Source organism: Homo sapiens, chromosome 19 (assembly GCF_000001405.40).
Source record: "Homo sapiens chromosome 19, GRCh38.p14 Primary Assembly".
NCBI lineage: Eukaryota > Metazoa > Chordata > Mammalia > Primates > Hominidae > Homo > Homo sapiens.
Genome location: NC_000019.10, coordinates 20,534,692 through 20,556,624, shown reverse-complemented (window position 1 = coordinate 20,556,624; position 21,933 = coordinate 20,534,692). Strand labels below are relative to the sequence as shown.

At 37.8% G+C, this 21,933-nt stretch overlaps 1 protein-coding gene and 1 long non-coding RNA gene across 10 annotated transcripts in view; one reads left to right on the top strand and one right to left on the bottom strand.

Annotated features, from left to right (window-relative positions):
• Positions 1-21,933, bottom strand: part of LOC105372316 (uncharacterized) — a 98,054-nt gene that overhangs the window by 14,471 nt on the left and 61,650 nt on the right. The gene's annotated exons all lie outside the window — the stretch shown is intronic.
• The window catches only part of ZNF737 (zinc finger protein 737), a 35,506-nt gene that overhangs the window by 9,157 nt on the left and 4,416 nt on the right, over positions 1-21,933 (top strand). The window contains exons 2-6 of one of the 9 annotated variants that reach the window (XM_047438007.1): positions 2,249-2,335; positions 2,790-2,916; positions 4,055-4,150; positions 10,649-12,006; positions 20,492-21,780. In XM_047438007.1, coding sequence (XP_047293963.1) covers positions 2,883-2,916; positions 4,055-4,150; positions 10,649-12,006; positions 20,492-20,563 — 1,560 coding nt within the window. In that variant the 5' untranslated portion in view covers positions 2,249-2,335; positions 2,790-2,882 and the 3' untranslated portion in view covers positions 20,564-21,780. Of the gene's footprint in view, positions 1-2,248; positions 2,336-2,789; positions 2,917-4,054; positions 4,151-10,648; positions 18,634-20,474; positions 21,781-21,933 lie in introns of those variants that run through there. The other 8 variants (XM_006722597.5, XM_005259697.5, XM_011527598.4 and 5 more) reach the window with 8 other exon arrangements.

The window sequence follows — 21,933 nt, the reverse complement described above, 5'->3', positions numbered from 1 at the left end:
GTGACTGCTTCTCTGACTAATGGTAATAATGAGCCAATGGGGAGCAACATCAGCATTGACAGGGAACTTGTTTTTGAAACACCCATTCATGGACCCTTTTCAAACCTGCAGAATCACATTACATAAAGTGGAGCTAAAATTACCAAGTGAATTATAAGCTCGTTAAAGCTTGAGAGGCAATGCTTAGCTTAGCTCGTTAAAGCTTGAGAGGCAATGCTTAGCTTAGTGGTTATCAGCCCAGGCCTCTCATTAGGATCACATGGCCAATTTGCAGAAATCTCTTGTGCCCTCCCCACAGCTTCTGTTTATTGTTCTGGGTGGAAGCATCCATGTTGTTTTAACGAAGGGCCTTATGTGACTGTAAGGTGAGGCCAGAATCAGGTATGAAGGCTGCAAAATACATTCATGAGCGTTAAGTTCCACCTTTGCACTAAAGGGTGGCCACAGGGTCTGTTCTGTTTGGGTTTGGTAGGGACAGGTCAGTGGCACATATTTCCATTACTGTAGCAGAAATGGATGGTGTCTGTGGTAGGGGAGGGCCCCTGAGGACAGGAAAGGAGAAACTTATATTTTCATCTTTATGGAGCAGCTCATTTTTCCTGAACCTCTTCTGTTTTAAAGGACAGAAATGGGTGGATTTTTCTGTCTTTTTCTGCCAGTTGATGTCATGCTAGCAGGTATACTTGTGGTACTGACACCTTTAAAGGCATATTCTCAAGATTCAGGTGTAATTTGTCCAAAGAATCTCATCTGAGAAGGAATTCCAGTGAAGGAGGAGATAGGAGAACAAAAAAAAAAGGCTTTTCTTTAGGTAAACGTGCCTCAGCTGAAAAGCTGTGTCCACTCTGCCTTCTGGACTGCCATGCGTTTAGTACTCACAAACCTTTACTTCTCTACTTGTGTTTCTCCTCCCTAAGGAGTTTGGTTTAAGTACTTCTTAAAATTCTTACGATAGTCAAAGGTGTCTGAAAAATGTTTCTTTGCTGTATCCCAGAGCCTTTTCTTCATTCTCTACATCATAACTTCTCATGTTCTATTGGGGAAAACTGTGGTCCTTAGTAAAGATGGAGAACATGTAATGTTGAGGCTCCATTAGTGTGTTCCATTAGCTGTATGCCGAACAGGATTAAGAAATTGCTTATTGGCCGGGTGCAGTGGCTCATGCCTGTAATCCCAGCACTTTGGGAGGCTGAAGCGGGCAGATCCCGAGGTCAGGAGATTGAGACCATCCTGGCTAACACAGTGAAACCCCGTCTCTATTAAAAATGCAAAAAATTAGCCAGGCATGGCAGTGGGTGCCTGCAATCCCAGCTCCTCAGGAGGCTGAGGCAGCAGAATAGCTTGAACCTGGGAAGCAGAGGTTGCAGTGAGCCAAGGTTGCGCCACTGCACTCCAGCCTGGGCAACAGAGTGATTTTCCATATCAAAAAAAAGAAAAGAAAAGAAAAGAAATTCCTTATTTAGATTGGGCGCAATGGCTCATGCCTGTAATTCCAGCACCTTGGAAGGTCGAGGTGGGCAGATCACCTGAGGTCAGGAGATCGAGACCAGCCTGGCCAACGTGGTGGAACTCTGTCTCTACTAAAAATACAAAAACTAGCCGGGCGTGGTGGCAGGCACCTGTAATCCCAGCTACTCGGGAAGCTGAGGCAGGAGACCCACTTGAACACAGGAGGCGGAGGTTGCAGTGAGCCAAGATCATGCCATTGCACTCCAGCCTGGGGGACAAGAGTGAGACTTTGCCTCAAAAAAAAAAAAAAAAAGAAATGCTTATTTAAATGGGATGCCATTTATTACCCAGAAAGTTCTGAAAAAACTTATTAGGACATACCTGCTCTTTAGGGTGCTAAATGAAGTCTATTTAAAATTACTACTAAAAATTACAGAACACAGGAGTTATCTGTATTTTGAGGTTTGCATAAAACTGATGGTTCTTTATGATTGAATCAGATTTTATTTACTTTTTTAAAAGAGGAATATTTCAACAGTGATGCTGTGTTCTTCTATGTGCATTAGCACAACATAAAAATTTCTTCTAGTGAAGTTAATGGTTAATGATTCACTTGCTTAAATAGCTCTGTGACAGATATTTTTCACTATGTAGCTGATTATTTTTCTCTTCATTATTAAGTATCTTTATGCAGCTGATGTGAATAAACCACCACATTTAATCTGGCAGTTGTCCTTTTTTCTTAATTTTTTCTACATATTTTTCTTTGGAAAATGAAGACTCTTATCTTTGTTTACAGGCCAGAAAAACTGGGAAAAACAGGCTCTTCCACTTACTGGATGTTTGACAAAATATCCTTCTTGGGCCAAAAACATTGACATCATTGGTGAGCTTGTTAGAAATTCAAAAAATCAAACTTTATTCCAGATCTTCTGGAAAAAAACCCTGCATAACAAGGTCTTCAACTTATTGTATATATTTAAATTTTAGAGGTGCCTTCTAAACTCAACATGTCTTTGTCATCTGAAAAATATTCACAGCTCATTCCATATGATGTAAACATAGCACTCAAAAATGTACATGTTCGTGTTCATACCCTTAATTTTACACTTTACTATCTAGAAAAATACATGAACTGATGTTGTGGATCTTATGCTGTTCTTTTTTCTCAGAGAATACTTTAGAGAATATTTCTGTGTTGAAAGTTATTTTATTGGATAATTTTAGTCAGTCCTATAAGTCAGAACCATTTGTCTTTACTCTCTCATTTGAACTTAAGTCAAATTAAAAATTCCACCCTTGGCTACTTGGTAAAAACGTATGTTGTGTGTGTGTTTCAGGGGCCATTGCAATTTAGAGACGTGGCCATAGAATTCTCTCTGGAGGAGTGGCATTGCCTGGACACTGCACAGCGGAATTTATATAGGAATGTGATGTTAGAGAACTACAGAAACCTGGTCTTCCTTGGTGAGAAAAACTTTAATACATAATTCATAATATACACAAAAGACTTTATTTCTCTCTCTTGTAGAATTTTTTTAGTAATTTATTCTTTTATAAAAGAGTTTCAGATCCACTTTTTCAAGAAAATCTTCAGAATTTGTTCATTTAGAAAATAATTTCTTTGGTGCCTCATGCCTGTAATCCCAGCACTTTGGGAGGCTGAGGTGGGGGTATTACCTGAGGCTAGGAGTTCAAGATCAGCCTGGCCAACATGGTGAAACCCCATTTCTACTAAAAGTACAAGAAATTAGCCGGGCATGGTGGCACATGCCTGTAATCCCAGCTAATTGGGAAGGTGAGGCAGGAGAATACCTTGAACCCAGGAGGCGGAGGTTGCAGTGAGTCGAAATAATGCCATTGCACTCCAGCCCAGGCAACAGAGCAAGATTTTGTCTCAAGGGGAAAAAAAAAGAAAAGAAAAAAATTTCTTCAAGATGTTTCATCTTAATCCAAATTTTCCATATTTGTGAGGTGAGCTGTAATCTTCACTCCAAATTAGTGGTAATTCCAGAAATTTACTGACATAAACTATTGTAGCTTCCACCTGAAAATCTAAATGCCACCACCAATTTTTGATTCAGTAGTACCAGGAAGGAAAATTAAGAAACCTACAAATTGAAAGTATTTTCTTTCTTTTTCTTTTTTTTTTTTTTTTTTTTCGGGGACAGAGTCTCACTCTGTCACCCAGGCTGGAGTGCAGTGGTGTGATCTCAGCTTACTGAAACATCCACCTCCCAGGTTGAAGCAATTCTTCTGCCTCAGCCTCATGAGTATCTGGGACTACAGGGGCAAGTCACCGTGTTTGGCTAATGTTTGTATTTTTAGTAGAGATGGGGTTTCACCATGCTGGCCAGGCTGGTCTCTAACTCATGACCTCGTGATTCACCCACCTTGGCCTCCCAAAGTGCTGGGATTACAGGCGTGAGTAACTGCACCTGGCAAATTTAAAGTATTTTCTAAATATTTAGAAATTTCTGTTATAAATTTGTATTTTGGTATTAATTTACTATAATATTTTATTACATTGTCTTTGCGAGCACATTACTAGCTTGTAATTGGAGAATATGAGCAAGATTCATGTTATTTATTTTTAATAAAACAGGTATTGTTGTCTCTAAGCCAGACCTCATCACCTGTCTGGAGCAAGGAAAAAAACCTTTGACCATGAAGAAACATGAGATGGTAGCCAACCCCTCAGGTAGGTGCAAGTGAAAATGAATATAGCAGACGACACAGATAAGAGGTCCCAAAGTCAAAGAGAAAGCCAGTCCTTAAAGTGTGATTTGGGAAGCTGTGCTCCAAAGAAAATAGTTCCTGGGAGCTGTTTTTTTTTTTTTTTTCTTTTTTAAATTTTGCTCTTATAAAGGGGCATCTTCTGCTTATGCTTTTAAATTCTGTAAAAATTCTACTTTTCTTTCGGTGAGCTCCCTTCAAGTTCACAGTGAGAGCCAGAGTCCTCTTCATGGCATATAAAATACTGCACAGTCTGGCTGCTTTTTCATTGTTTTGGGGACACACAAATATCTGCATGATTTTGAGAATTATTTCTCTTTTTGCATCAGGTCTGATGTGTGAGAGTAGTAGTTTCTGTCCAATTTTTTTGTTTATTTTTCTATGTAGTCCTTTCTATTTTTATTACTATTATAGTCTTGAAATATAGTTTGAAATTATACGTATGATATCCTTCTGCTTTGTTCTTTTTTTTTTTCAAGATTGCTTTGGCTATTCAGAGTTTATTTTCATGTAAATTTTAGAATTGTATTTTCCATTTCTGTAAAAAAAAAACACTGCAATTTTGACAGGACGTTTATGCAATCTATAGATCACTTTGGATAATATGAAACTTTAATAATATTTATTCTTTCAATCCCTAGACATAAAATATTTTAAAATTTGTTTGGATCTTCTAATTTTTTCATTTTTTTATTGTAAACATTTTCTTACCTTCTTGGTTAATTTTTTTCTCAGAAATTTATTATTTAATGCTATATTAAATAAGATTTTTTCTTCCTCTATTTTATCAGATAGTTTGTTTTAAGCGTATGAAACAATACATGTACTTGTGTGTTAATTTTATATTTTGCTAATTTACTCAGTGTATTCATTAGTTTAGACAGGTTTTAATGTACTGTTTATGGTTTTTAAAATGTAAGATGTATGATCCACAAACAGCAACTTTTACTTATTTTTCTTCAATTGCAATGGATTTCTTTCTTTCTTTCTTTTTTTTTTTTTTTTTTTTTGAGATGGGGTTTCACTCATGTTGCCCAGGCTAAAGTGCAATGGCGTGATTTCGGCTCACTGCAACCTTCGCCTCCTGGGTTCAAGCAGTTCTCTTGCCTCAGCCTGCTGGGTAGCTGGGATTACTGGTGCTCACCACAACACCTAGCTAATTTTTTGTATTTTTTTGGTAGAGACTGGGTTTCACCATGTTGGCAAGGGTGGTCTCAAACTCCTGACCTCAGATGATCTGCCTGCCTCGGCCTCCCAAAGTACTGGAATTACAGGCATGAGGCACCCCGCCCGGCCCAATTGTGTGGGCTTCTATGTAGGCAGAACTGACCATAAACTGTGGCTCAGGTAACCGAAACTGAGTCATTGAACCTCTTCAGGGACCCCAGTAAAGGCCAAAGTCTGCAAGCCTGCCTACATTGCTGTAAATGGGTGCCTTCATCCAGGTCTCTGGAATGGCAGGACCTCTGCCAGACTGTGGCTGGGAGTTTGAGCTGGTTACAGAGTAAGTTCAGAATTCTCTGTGGGACCAACTTGGGTAAACCCTATCCTGGTCTGTAGCCATGAACAGGGGTACTGTAGTTTCCCACGTGAATGAGAGCCTGCCTTCTGAATAGAACACTTCTCAACCTTACGCTTTAACAGCATTTCACAACTCCCACCCTAGCTCTCAAATCTCCCTTAGAGGCACTTATTTTGGAAATGGCATCTTGCTACATCTTTGATCTGGTCTTTGAGACCCAGGCTGGTCTCAAAATCCTGGCCTGAAGCAATTTTCCAACCTTAATGTTCCATGGAGCTGTCATTACAGGTGTGAGTCATAATCCTGGTTCTCTCATAAAGGTATTTTTGTCAGCGATGGCTGACTTGTTTTGCTGTAAGGGAATATGAAAATAGGGCACTTTTAATCTTTTCATTTTACTGATGTCACTCTCCCTATATATTTTTACTTTCTATGTTCTCTTTCAGATTTGTCTGTAATTTTAGATTCAAATATTGAAGACAATATGCTAGAATTTGCATGATATGCCTGAAGTAAATTACATAATTAGTAGGCACCCATAGTTACTAAAATAGTTATTTATAAATTTAAATTTGCTGCAGGTAAAAAGGAATTATAGGATGTTCATCTACTTTTTTCAGCCTATATCTCCATAATAAAATAGTTTATTTCCTAATATTTGTTTTACATATCAGAGGGTCTAACCCCATTCTACAAAATATATATTTCTTATTTAACAATGTAAGGGTACTCTTTGCTTCCAATGTTTGATTACAGCAGTTTCATTTTGTGTAAGAATACCATATATTTAAGACATTAAAAGGAACTAGTTTCTTTTAAATGCTAATTTATTTTCTCATTAGAATCTTCTATTTATAATTATACTGCATAATCTCTGAAATTTTACTGCCACACAGTGCATGCTAATGATTCAGAATACTTGCATTTTGTGAGTACACACCAACAGTTAAATATTGCAGTTATCTAGAATTTTTTTTTTTTTTTTTTTGAGATGGAGTCACACTCTGTCACCCAGGCTGGAGTGTAGTGGTATGATCTTGGCTCACTGCAACCTCCACTTCCTGGGTTCAAGCTATTCTCATACCTCAGTCTCCCAAGTAGCTGGGATTACAGGCGTGTGTCACCGTCCCCAGCTAATTTTTGTATTTTTAGTAGAGATGGGGCTTCACCACTTCGGCCAGGCTGGTCTTGAACTCCTGACCTCAGGTGATCTGCTCATCTTGGCCTCCCAAAGTGTTGAGATAACAGTTTTGAGCCACTGTGCCCGGCCTGACAATTTTTTTTTAATTATACTTCAATGTTGCATACAAGATTTTATGAGTAAACATTTCTCTTATTGTTGTTTTGAAGTTTTGAACCCCTCCGAGGTTCAAGTGATTCTTCTGCCTTGACCTCCTGGGTAGCTGGGACTACAGGCATGAGCCACCATGCTCAGCTAATTTTTGTATTTTTAGCAGAGATGGGGTTTCACTATATTGGCCAATGTGGTCTGGAACTGCTGGCCTCAGGATTTGCACACTTTGGTCTCCCAAAGTGCTGGGATTACAGATGTGACCTACTGCCTCTGGCCTCAGTGTAGGTTTCTTAAGATTAGTTTATTGGGTGTTTTGGTTTTACTTATGTATTATAATTTTAGACAATTTGCAGTTCTTTTTGTACACTTTAAGTCAATTTAAGGTTTAATTAAGAGATAAATTATGCATATCTATCATAATCAGATTACATTTGTATGTGTATTTATCTATAAATATGACCCCAATTTTAGTTATGGCTTATATTCTTTCTTAGCTGATTTTTGATGGTAGTTTTATCTTGTCTAAGTGAGTACTTATGGAGATAGTCTTATTATCACCATGTGTTTAACAATGAATATATATTTGCTTTTGTGAGAGACACTTCTATGATTTGAAAGTAAATTTCAAAAAGATACATAATTGTTTTTTTTTTTTTTTTTTCAGTTTTTCTTTAAAAAAAATTGCTTAAAAACACGTAATATAAAATTTACCACCTTAAATCTATTGAAGTGTGCATTTCAGGGCCAGGCTTGGTGGAGGCTCTTATTTGTAATCCCAGGATTTTGAGAGGCCAAGACTGGAGGATCCATGGAGCCCAACAGTTTGAGACCAGCCAGGGCAACATATGGTGACACCTCTCTATAAAAAATAATAATAATAATAGCCAGCCATAGTGATGTGCAGCTGTGGCCCCAGCTACTTGGGAGATTTAAGGGAAGTCAAAATTGTACAACTACACTCCAGCTTGGGTGACAGAGTGAGACCGTGTCTCAAAAAAAAAAGCTGTTCATTTCAGTCATGTTAAGTATATTCACATTGTTAAGCAAAAGACTTTTAGAAAGTTTTCATCTTGTAAAACTAAAAGCCATTGACCATTAAGTAACAACTGCTCATTTTACCCTCTCTCCAGCCTTTGACAGACAAACCTTCCACTTTCTGATTTTATGATTTTGACTACTTAAGATATATCATATATGTGGAATCATACAGTATCCAAAATTTTGTCACTGGATTAGTTCAGGTGACATAATATTCTCAAAGTTCATCTTAAAATTGACAAGATTGTTTTTTCTAAGGTGGAATAATACTTCATCATATGTATATGTTACATTTTTTGATATGTTTATAAATCAAGAGGCATCTGGGTTGCTTCAGCCTTTTGGCTTTTGTGAATACTGGTACAATACACATGGATTTTCAATTATATCTTCCAGGTCCTGTGTTGCATATTTTTGTTGTTGCTGTTGTTTTCCTTTTTTTTTTAGATGGAGTCTCACTCTGTTGCCCAGGCTAAAGTACAGTGGCACGATTTCGGCTCACTGCAACCTCTGCCTTCTGGGTTTAAGCAATTCTCCTGTCTCAGCCTCCCAAGTAGCTGGGATTACAGGTGCACGTCACATCGCCAAGCTAATCTTTTATTTTTAGTAGAAATGGTGTGTTGGCCAGGCTGGTCACAAACACCTGACCTCAGGTTATCTGCCCACCTCAGCCTCCCAAACTGCTAGGATTACAGGCTTGAGCCACTGCACCTGGCCTGTGTTACATATTTTGGATAGAGATTTATAAATGAGGAACATTTACAACATTTTAAAATAATGGCTGTGTCTTTGTTTTCCACCAGCAATCAACATGGGTTTTATTTTTATTGCACCTAATGGGTGTAAGTTGATCTTGTCATTGTGTGTTTTTTTAATTTCTGTATAAATTAATGATTTTGTATGTTCTTTCAAATGCTTTTCCTCACTTGTGTATTTTTATGTTTAAGCATTTTATTTAAAATGTATTATTGTGTCATTCAAGGAAATAAACAACTTTATCAGTGTTGATATTCAGTTTTCAACTTCATTTTTTGAAGAGATTATTTCTATTTTGTATGCATGGCAACTTTGTGGAAGATCATCTGATCATATACAGAAGGGTTCATTTCTGAGTTCTCTATTCTGTTCTTTCATTTGTTTATCTTTGTGTCAGTGTCACATTGTTTATGTTACTGTAGGTGGTGTTTTTTTTTTTTTTTTTTTTTGAGACGGAGTCTCGCTGTGTCACCCTGGCTGGAGTGCAGTGACGCAATCTCAGCTTACTGCAAGCTCCGCCTCCCAGGTTCATGCCATTCTCCTGCCTCAGCCTCTGAAGTAGCTGGGACTACAGGCGCCTGCTACCATGCCCGGCTAATTTTTTGTATTTTTAGTAGAGATGGGGTTTCACTATATTAGCCAGGATGGTCTCAATCTCCTGACCTCGTGATCCACCTGCCTCGGCCTCCAAAAGTGCTGGGATTACAGGCATGAGCCACCATGCCTGGCCATGTTACTGTAGGTTTTAACTGTAGGTTGTATTGACAACTTTGAAAAATAAAATTTTTTGCCCCCTGAGCAAGAATATGTTGTAGAGTGTATTTCATATTCACTTATTTTAGAATTTGCCAGTTTGACTTTTGCTTTTAATTCCTAGTTTCATTCAGTTTTTGTTAGAAAACACACAGTGTGTAATTTTAGTGTTTTAAAAATGATTGGTTGTTGTTGTTTTGAGACAAGATCTTACTGTCACCCAGGCTGCAGTGCAGTGGCATAATTGTGGCTCATTGTAACCTCAGCCTCCTGGACTCAAGTGATCCTTTCTCCTCAGTTTTTTGAGTATCTAGGACTGTAGATATGCACTACCATGTCTGGATAATTGTTTGCTTGTTTGTAGTATTAGGATCTCACTATGTTGCCCAGGCTGGTCTCAAACTTTTGGCCCCAGTGGATCTCCCAAAGTGTTAGGATTATAGCCAAGAGCTACAGCACATAGTATTTTTAATTTAATAAAACTTCATATGTGTCCTAACAGAATACACCAGATGCAAATAGGAATACTGTGTATTATCTTGGTTTTGACTGGAGAGTTTTGTGTGTGGCTGTGAATCCTAGGTGGTCTATAATATGGTTTGGATGTCTATGTTCTTCAAACCTCATGCTGCAATATAAATTCTCACTGTTAGATGTGGGACCTGGTGGGATATGTTTGGGTCATGGGGGCGAATTTCTCATGATCCACCCATGTGTCACCTTCCCAGAGTTCTGAGATTACAGGCATGAGCGACTGCATCCGACTGGAAATTTACTTTTAAAGGCACAATATTATACTGGAGAGCAGGAAGAGCTCTGTTGGGTATAAGTAACAGAATTTTCTTTTTATTCTATGTGGCTCTTTGCATTGTGCTCACCTGGGGCCCTTCATACACTTAACTCACTTATAAATTTTTTACAAATGTATTTTGGGCAGTCCACTTTTGTTACATTTATGTATCCAGGAAGAAATTACAGTTTGTGGTATTTTGCTGTGTCATCTTGCTTATGTAGTTTGTATAATTATATAGGTTAGATCTGTAAAGTATATTTATCTGAGTCTACCAATTGAAGTAATGTGCTTTTATTGTTTCTTTCAGTTACGTGTTCTCATTTTGCCCGAGATCTTTGGCCAGAGCAGAGCATAAAAGATTCTTTCCAAAAAGTGACACTGAGAAGATATGAAAACTATGGACATGACAATTTACAGTTTAAAAAGGGCTGTGAAAGTGTAGATGAGTGTAAGGTGCACAAAAGAGGTTATAATGGACTTAACCAATATTTGACAACTACTCAAAGCAAAATATTTCAGTGTGATAAATATGTGAAAGTCATTCATAAATTTTCAAATTCAAACAGACATAAGATAAGACATACTGGAAAAAAACCTTTCAAATGTATAGAATGTGGCAAAGCTTTTAACCAGTCTTCAACCCTTACTACACATAAGAAAATTCATACTGGGGAGAAACCCTTCAAATGTGAAGAATGTGGCAAAGCCTTCAACTGGTCCTCACACCTTACTACACATAAGAGAATTCATACTGGAGAGAAACGGTACAAATGTGAAGACTGTGGCAAAGCCTTTAGCCGGTTTTCATACCTTACTGCACATAAGATAATTCATAGTGGAGAGAAACCCTACAAATGTGAAGAATGTGGCAAGGCCTTTAAGCGCTCCTCTAACCTTACTACACATAAGATAATTCATACTGGAGAGAAACCCTACAAATGTGAAGAATGTGGCAAGGCCTTTAAGCGCTCCTCTATCCTTACTGCGCATAAGATAATTCATAGCGGAGAGAAACCCTACAAATGTGAAGAATGTGGCAAAGCCTTTAAGCACCCCTCTGTCCTTACTACACATAAAAGAATTCATACTGGAGAGAAACCCTACAAATGTGAAGAATGTGGCAGAGCCTTTAAGTACTTCTCATCCCTTACTACACACAAGATAATTCATAGTGGAGAGAAACCCTACAAATGTGAAGAATGTGGCAAAGCCTTCAACTGGTCCTCACACCTTACTACACATAAGAGAATTCATACTGGAGAGAAACCCTACAAATGTGAAGAATGTGGCGAAGCCTTTAAGTACTCCTCTTCCCTTACTACACATAAGATAATCCATACTGGACAGCAACCCTTCAAGTGTGAAGAATGTGGCAAGGCCTTTAAGTGCTTCTCTATCCTTACTACACATAAGAGAATTCATACTGGAGAGAAACCCTACAAATGTGAAGAATGTGGCAAAGCCTTCAACTCGTCCTCACACCTTACTGCACATAAGAGAATTCATACTGGAGAGAAACCCTACAAATGTGAACGATGTGGCAAGGCTTTTAAGCGCTCCTTTATCCTTACTAGACATAAGAGAATTCATACTGGAGAGAAACCCTACAAATGTGAAGAATGTGGCAAAGGCTTTAAGTGCCCCTCTACCCTTACTACACATAAGGTAATTCATACTGGAGAGAAACTATAAATGTGAGGAATGTGGCAAAGCTTTAAGCTATCCCACTATGCTTTTTTCACATAAGAAAATTCATATTGGAGGGAAACTGTACAAGTGTGATAAATGTGGCAAAGCCTTTATTTCATCCTCAAACCTTAGTAGACATTAGATAATTCATGCGGGAAAGAAACCCAACAAATAAGAAAATGCAGCAAAGCCTTTAAGGACACCTCTGCCCTTACTAGACATAAGATAATTCGTACTGGAGAGAAACCCTGTGAGTTTGATGAATGTCGGAAAGCCTTTAACCAGCTATCAACTTTTACTAAATATGAGAATTTATATGGAACATAAACCCTACAAATATAAAGAATGTGACAACGCTTTTAGGAAGTTCTGAACCCTTCTTACACATAATTCATGCTGGACAAAAATCCTACAAGTTTGAGGAATGTGGCAAATCCTATAACAAGTTTTCAATATTTTTTTTTTTGAGATGAAGTTTCATGCTTGTCATCCAAGCTGGAGTACAGTGCCATGATCTCGGCTCACTGCAACCTCTGCCTCCTGGGTTTAAGCCATTCTCCTACCTCAGCTTCCTGAGTAGCTGGGATTACAGGTGTCCTCCAACATGCCCAGCTAATTTTTTTATTTTTAGTAGAGATGCGACTTCGCCATGTTTGCCAGGCTGGTCTCGAACTCCTGACCTCAGGTGATCCACCCACCTTGGCCTCCTAAAGTGCTGGGATTACAGGCGTGAGCCACGACGCCCAGCCACAAGTTCTCAATTCTTAAGAGGCATGGCAATAATTCATGTTGAAGAGGAAATCCGCAAAGCTAAAAAATGTGACATTGCTTTTACGAACACCTCCAACTTCTCTACACATAACAATAATTATACTAGTGTGAAACCCTAGAAATATATAAAATGTGACAAAGCCTTTATATGGTTGCCACTCTTGATTGTAGGTTGGATAATTCATACTGGCAAAACTCCTACAAGTGTGAAGAATGTGGCAAAACTTTTAATCAGTTCTTACACCTTATCTCACAGAAAAGCTAGTATCCTTGAGAAAAATTGTACAAATAGAAGGAATATGGAAAACCTATTAATTCCTACTCACATCTAACTCAACATAAAAATCTTCCTTTTAATAAAAGCATTAAAATGGCAATTACTGTCAAAACTTTCAGCAAGTATAAGCCTTTAAAGTGAAGAAGAGTATTTATTGTGAAGACAAGCATTACAAATATAAAGGGAGTTACATAGTACATTTACTAGTATCACAGATCTTATTGCACACATTTTGTACTGGAGGAAAATCCTAAAGCAGTTGCTCAAGTTTGTTCAACATCAGGGAATTTATATTGGAGATGAGTCCTACAAATGTATTAAGTTTAGAAACACTTTTTTTTCCCCAGAAACTACAGCTTAGAAAACAACAGAGAGTTTATGCTAAAATATAATTTTGCAGATGCAGTAAATATTAAAAAATATTTAATTCAAAATAGATTGTATATAAATATCAAGAGAGTTTACAGTAGAATAACTAAGGCCCCGACACTTCAGACATTACACTAAATCAGAGCATTGAATATAAAAACTAATCCACAACTGCAGTTTTTAGGTAAATGATTTCTATTTAACTTTAAAAGGAGTAGATTTTTGGAAGCATTGTAATTACGTTGAAAGTATACTTGTTTCCTTGAATAAAATTTTTTGAAAGCTGAATAATGATGTAATACAGCTTTCAAATTATGCTGTTATTTTATTTCTATTCACATGTGAGAAAGCATGTGATCAGTGGCTTCTGCATCAGAGATATTCGATTTTTTTACATTATTTGGACATTATGACTTTTTCTATAAAATAGTAAGAACATTAAAATGTAAGACGCATAATGAAAATACAAGTGGAGAAGCTGTTTGTAGTAAAATTCTATTAAGTAATGTATAACGTAAATGTTCAGAGCAATACTTTATTATAGTGACACAAAGAAATAATTAAAAGTATATTAAAATAAATGAGTATATTACTTTACTACTTGTACTTTTATGTAATAAAATGCAGTGCATTTTAAAACTGTTAGGGCCGGGCTTGATGGCTCATGCCTGTAATTTCAGCACTTTGGGAGGCCAAGGTGGGCAGATCACCTGAGGTCAGGAGTTCGAGACCAGCCTGACCAACATGGAGAAACCCAGTCTCTACTAAAAATACAAAAAAAATTAGCCAGGCATGGTGGTGCATGCCTGTAATCTCAGCTACTCAGGAGGCTGAGGCAGGAGAAACACTTGAACCTGGGAGGCAGAGGTTGCAGTGGGGCAAGATTGTGCGATTGCACTCCAGTCTGGGCAACAAGAGCAAAACTCTGTCTCAAAAAAAAAAAAGTTTGTTAGATTATTTGTGAACTTAATTTTATTTTATTTTTACCATGGTAAGACTACCGTGCGTTTAATGAACCATTATTGTGCCACTAACTGTATCCCACTTTACTCAAGGGTGTAGGTACAATATTGTAGGAATATACTATTTCATACATTGTAAAATAACATCTTTAGTAATCACTGTCAGTGGCTTTAAACTGCAAATGAGTTAAATATTGTTCCCATAGATTAAATTTTGACTCTTTATTATTTAAATTTTTTATTTGTATTCGTGGGTATATAATATGTGTATATATTTATGCCTTATATGGCATCTTTTGACTCAGGCCTACAATATGTAGTAATTACATTATGGTAAATAAGGTATCCATCACCTCTAGCATTTATCTTTTGTATTACCAATAGTGTAATTATATGCTTTTATTCATTTTAAAATGTACAATTAAATTGTTATTGACTACAGAATTATTTCTATGATCATAATAATTATACAAAAATGTAAATAAAATACGGCCAGGCACAGTGGCTCACATCTGTAATTCCAGCACTTTGGGAGGCCGAGACAGGTGGAATGCTTGAGGTTAGGAGTTCAAGGCCAGCCTGGCCAACGTGGTGAAACCTTGTCTCTACTAAAAACACAAAAATTAGGCATGGTGGCACATGCCAGGAGGCTGAGGCAGGAGAATCGTTTGAGCCCAGGAGGCAGAGGTTGCAGTGAGCTGAGATCATGCCACTGCACTCCAGCCTGGCTGACAGAGTGAGTCTCCATCTCAAAAAATAAAATAAAAATAAAATCCATACATTTCTGAGTCCTGAAAAATTATAAATACTTGTAATATAGTTTTCCTTGAACATGTGGTCTCTGCCTGCAAACACATAGACTTTTAGTTTTAATTTACATAGAGTTAAATATACACATATTACTCTGAAGATAAACCTGAGGTGTAAGAAAATTATGAATTGAGTGTTTTTGTGTGAGTATAGGTTTGTACATATTTTCAGAATAAAAGCAATTACTGCAACAAAACAAATTATGTTATTTAGGTGATTAACAAAACTAAACACTTTTAAAATGGTGAAAGCAAATCTATACTTTCTGCTTTGTATTGAATTTATTAATATAAAATGTTCTGGCCTGTGATTCGGATTCTCCCCAGAGTCTGCCTATTAAAGCACAGGCAACTTTGTCTCCAGAAACAACTCTCTTGAGTACAATAATAAAAGCCCTCTTAAAACAGGAAAAAAAAATCATTTTTAACACTTATTTGAATGAACATTCAACCAAAATTGAATAATTGGATATATTTTTATTGTTCTATGTGTGTGTGAATGTATAAATGGTGCATAAAAAATAATTTAAGCCAGAAAAATAGTTATTTGTAATGAATAAAACTAAAAAGTAGTTAATTATTATATCCAGTTGATATCTTTGTTTATGTAGATAACAAAAGCAGCAGAAAGACTCTTTTTTTTTTTCCATGATGGAGTGTTGCTCTGTCTTCCAGGCTGGAGAGCAGTGGCGTGATCTCAGCTCATGGCAACCTCCACCTCCTGGGTTCAAGCAATTCTCCTGCCTCAGCCTCCTAAGTAGCTGGGATTACAGGCATGCACCACCACGTCTGACTAATTTTTGTATTTTTAGTAGAGACAGGGTTTCATCATGTTGGCCAGGCTGGTCCCAAACTCCTGGCCTCATGATCTGCCTGCTTCAGCCTCCCACGGTGCTGGTATTAGAATCATGAGCCACCGTGCCCAGCAAAAGATGATTTTAAACATTTATTTAGGTGGGTAGGCAACATTCTAAGATAATACCCTGGATTACCAGTCTGTTGCACACGTGCTGTGTCATACTTTCCTCTTGAGTGTAAAAAAAATGTGTGACTGTGGTGGGAAATCACTTATGAAATTAGGTTACTCATCCGTAGACTTTGTGTTTATCAAAATGGAGATTATCCTGATTGTGCTAAACTTAATCAGAGGTGCTTTTAAGAGAAAGAGACACATCACAGAAAAACACCCCTGCTGGCCTGAAAGTAAGTGACTTCTAGGTAGAACATGTTGTAAGCTGCTTATGGTGGCCACATGGCGGGAAAAATGTTTGTATCTTGCCATCATTTCTGCCTCCTCCATGTTGCTTCCAGTAAGGAACATAAGAGGATTCTATGGCAGAGGGAAAAAAAAGGGAATCTCATTCATTCAAGAAATAATCACCTCTCATCTGGGATAGCTTAAGAGAAACAGGAGACCACAACAGGTCCACATTAATGGGAGGAAAAAGGTAACCTGGGTAAAAGTGCTCACTGGCATTATGGAACAGTATTTAGTAAGCTGTAGTGAATGATCAGCCTCTGGGATACCAATAGTCTACCAACAAGGCTGAACTCATTCTAATTCAATCAGCATGTCTGCACCATTCTGGTGACACAGGTTTACACTATTTATTACAGAAATGCCATGAAGACCAGTGGGTAATGTCCTAAAATTGAACTTACTTCAAAAAGTATACCTAATTGTCTGTTTTCATATTTGAAAAACCTTAAAAACAATGAATTTATAAATAATTAACTTCTAATTATAGAGGATTCTACTATACTGTAATACAAGATTAAACTGTAAACACATTAATATGAATATTTTTTGAATCCATGATTAGTTATGTAGATAGTTTCTTTTAGATTCACATGACCAAGGTAACATTAGAGAAAACATTTGAAATGGAATAAAATTTACCAAGACCACATTTTTTCAATGGCTTCGCATAATTGCCGTACTTACAGAAATGGCCAGATGACTAACAAGAAACAAAGGCAAGATTTAAGCTTTGCTCAATGATTGTTTTTGACCTTTTGAAATCTGAAATCCTGGCTAAAGTATTCAAAGGGAGTATTTTATAGGGGCTTCCCAGGGTTTCCAAGTAATTGAAGAAAGAATTTCTTTTTTTTTTTTTTAGAAGGATTCTCACTCTGTCACTCACGCTGCACTGCAATGGTACGTGCTCAGCTCACTGCAACCTCCACCTCCCTGGTTCAAGTGATTCTTCCGCCTCAGCCTCCTGAGTAGCTGGGATAACAGGCACCCGCCATTATGCCCGGATAATTTTTGTAGTAGAGATGGGATTTCATCATGTTAGCCAGGCTTGTCTTGAACTCCTGACCTCAGGTGATCCATCCACCTCAGCCTCCCAGAGTGCTGGGATTACAGGCATGAGCCACTTTTCCCAGCCAGAATAATTTTGGTAGGCAGGAAAATGCACATTATGTACACACATTGCTCTTCTCTGATTTGCTTTAACACTGAAAAACTGAAGATTGTAAATGTAGTCTCAATTTAGAGTGAATTAACAAAAGATTTGTTTTTCAAAAAAGCAAATGTATAAAATTAATGGGTAACAGATGCCATTAGTTGCTAAAAAATAGTATGACTAAAGTTGGTAATTATCTAGCTATGCAAATAACAGCCCAATTAAATTAAGACTCTATTGGGTGCATGTGGAAAGCATTGATGTGCAGTGTGGTGCCTCCACTCAGCATTTCCTTACTGTCTCTTTACAGAGATACCAATTCCCCCTGAATTACTCAGGGTCCATAATGGTTTTAGAAATGTTTGTTCTCTGGAGCTGTAAAGAAATAGCACTTGAAAATAAATTTAATTTTTCTTAGCAAGGCCATTTTTACTTTTTGCAGAAAGCAGTTTTGCCACGAGTACACTGAACAGAGGAGACAGAGTCATTTATAACTTGACGTGTCCACCCTACTGCTGTGTCTGGTTTTCATTGGCTGGAATGGGACCTCACATTCTGTATGTCCCAATTGTTTAGCAACTTAGAACTTTTTAAAAGAGACAAAGGCAGAGGAGAACAAAGGAAGGAGGAAGTAACTTGTGGAATGCTGAGAAAGGTAAAAATACCTTCAAATAAGGAGGAGGAACAGGCTATGACCTAATGCTTGCTTGGATTAGTATAAGCATGCCAGGGCAAATATTTAGGCTAAATTGTGGGAGCTAAGAACATAAAGTACATTGATTTTTTAATTGTGCTTAGCAGATATTTAAGAATGTTAGCACAGGTCTTTGAATAAACTTTGCTTCTAAGAGAAGTTACTATTCATAATTAGGTAGAAAAGTCTTTGAAGAGGAACCTCTACTTCACTTTTTACACTGTGAACTGAGAATGCTGTGTTCAGAGTGATTACTGAAAACATGGTTAATACACTTCTTCCATATGATAATAAAATGTTATAAATCTTACTCTGCCTCAGAAAAGCTTTTACTAAAAGATTATGTATAGTACTTGATTTGAGTTCATGAAAAATTTTAATATTCCAGATAATTCAGACATCAATGAAATCTCATAAAACATTTGAATAAGATCATGTCTTCTTAGCGAAGAATTTTATATTACCAGTAAATTTAGAAAAAAAATAGGGCTGGGTGCGGTGGCTCATGCCTGTAATCCCAGCACTTTGGGAGGCCGAGGTGGGTGGATCAAGAGGTCAGGAGTTCGAGACCAGCCTGGCCAACATGGTGAAACCCCATCTCTACTAAAAATACAAAAATTAGCCGGGCATAGTGGCATGCACCTGTAGTCCCAGCTACTTGGGAGGCTGAGGCAGAAGAATCACTTGAACCCAGGAGGAAGAGACTGCAGTGAGCCGAGATCATGCCATTGCACTCCAGCCTGGGCGACAGATGAGACTCTGTCTCAAAAAAAAAAAAAAAAAAAAAAAATAGAAAACCAGGCTGAATGTGGTGGCTCGCGCCTGTAATGTCAGCATTTTGGGAGGCCGAGGCGGGTGGATCACCTGAGGTCTGGAGTTCGAGACCAGCCTGACCAACATGGTGAAACCCCATCTCTACTAAAAATACAAGAAATTAGCCAGGTGTGGTTGCAGGTGCCTGTAATCCCAGCTACTGGGGAGGCTGAGGCAGAAGAGTTGTGTGAACCTTGTGGGCAGAGGCTGCAGTGAGATGAGATTGTGCCATTGTACTCCAGCCTGGGCAACAAGAGCAAAACTCCATCTCAAAAAAGAAAAAGAAAAAAAAAAAAACCAGTACCTTAAGCCAAATAACAGTGTTTGACACGTGTGTAGCAACCAAAAAAGTGCTATTCATGATCAGTTTTTGTTTTTTGTTTTTTGAGACAGAGTCTCGCTATGTCACCCAGGCTGGAGTGCAGTGTTATGATCTCAGATCACTGCAACCTCTGGCTTTCGGGTTTAAGCGATTCTCCTGCCTCAGCCTCCCTAGTAGCTGGGACTACAGGCACCCGCCACCACGCCCAGCTGATTTTATTGTTTTGAGAGGAGTCTTACTTTGTTGCCTAGGGTCTAGTACAGTGGCATGATCCTGGCTCACTGCAACCTTGGCCTCACAGGTTCAAGAGATTCTCCTGCCTCAACCTCCTGCGTAGCTGGGATTACAGGCACCCACCACCATGCACAGCTAATTTTTTGTGTTTTTAGTAGAGAAGAGGTTTAGCCATGTTGCCCAGGCTGGTCTTGAACTGATGACCTCAAGCAATCCACCAGCCTCAGCCTCCCAAAGTGCTGGGATTACAGGCGTGAGCCACCACACCTGGGAATTTTTGTATTTTTAGTAGAGACGGTGTTTCACCATATTGGCCAGGCTGGTCTCGAGCTCCTGACCCTGTGATCTACCCACCTCGGCCTCTCAAAGTGCTGGATTACAGGCATGAGCCACCATGCTTGACCTGTTTATTGTTAAAGTAGCAATAGCACGACGTGCTTTCCTAGGACCTGCTGGCCTGTTTTTCACTGATATAAAGTGAAGGAGGCATTGAAATAGCAGAGGCAGGTGATATAAATTGAATACTTATATGAAATAAAATTTTAAATAAAAATTAGCATTTGATGTTGTACAACTATAGGTGAGACTATTAGTGTGAGGTCATATTTTTACTTATATTGACAAAATAACCATTCACAATATTCTTATTTAGAACAATTTTCCTTTTCTACTGTGCTTTTGCTAGCTTTTGATCAAATATTACAGGAACTCAATAGAAATCAACAAAATTAATCTTTATTTTACTAGAAGGGTTACTGATGCATATGCTAATTTTTTTTCAGTTTTTTGTTTATTGCAGAGAAGTGGCTGTCCTACTAGAAAACTGCTACTCTCATCTGTATCCACATTGAATAATAGTGAATGGAAGTGAAGCGGATAAAAGGTAAATGTGTCTTCTCTGTATCTTTTTTCATCCATTGGCTGAAGAACAGGAAAATGTGGAAAATAAAAGAAAATATAACCCCTGAAAAATCCTGAAGAAGCTCTCTTAACCAGACAAAAAACCTTATAGGGGATTTTTTGTTTGTTTTATTATTGTACCATCTGCTTCTATGAGTTTAATTTTTTTTTTTTTTTTACACTTTACATAGAAATAGGATTATGTGGGCTGGGCACAGGGACTGACGCCTGTAATCCCAACACTTGGAGGGGCTGAGGTGGGTGGATCAGTTGAGGTCAGGAGTTTGAGACTAGCCTGGCCAACATGGGGGAAATCCTATCTCTACTAAAAATATAAAAATTTGCTGGGTGTGGTGGCACATGCCTGTAATCCCAGGTCCTGAGGAGGCTGAGGCAGGAGAATCTCTTGAACCTGGGAGCTGGAGGTTGCAGTGAGTGGAGATGGTGCCACTGCACTCCAGCTTGGGTGACAAAAGCAAAATTCCATCTCAAAAAAAAAAAAAACGAGGATTTTGTTTTTTTTCTGTGCTGACTTATTTTACTTAACATAATATCTTTCAGGTTCATGAATGTTGTTGCAAATAGCAAGACTTTCTTATTTTTAAGGGCTGAATAGCATTTCATTGTGTATATATACCATATTTTCTTTCTCCATTCACCTATTGGTGAACACTTAGGTTGATTTCAAACCTTAGCTATTGTGAGTAATCAACTTCCTTCCTTCTCTTTTATTTTGTTGTTGTTTTGTTTTGTTTGAGATGGAGTCTCATTCTGTCACCCAAGCTGGAGTGCAGTGGTACAATCTCAGCTCACTGCAAACTCTGCCTACCAGGTTCAAGTGATTCTCATGCCTAAGCCTCCTGAGTAGCTGAGATTACAAGTGTATGCCACCACACCAGGCTAATTTTTGTATTTTTAGTAGAGGCAGGCTTTCACCATGTTGACCAGGCTGCTTTTCATTTGTTTGTATATTTCTTTCTTCCTTTCCTTCTTTATTTCTAGAAGTATTTTAATTTTAATATATAAATTATGACTGGTAAAAACCTTCATTTCTCTGTCTTTGCTTACTGTTATGGCTGATTAAAAAATAAGTTTTCAAAATTTCCTGGATAAAGGTTATTACTTTATTGTTAACATAACTTGAGACAATATAGAAATGAAAATAAACATTTATTAGTAAAACAGAAATTATCTAGCTACTGGTAGTCATTTAGTCTCTCACCCAACATGAATGCTACATCTTGGTGTCATCTCTCCCAGTTGTATGAAAGAGGCTACTGATCAAATTGGTCAGCATAAAATCTCGTGAAGTTTAACACATTTGTTCTGAAAATTAAGCTG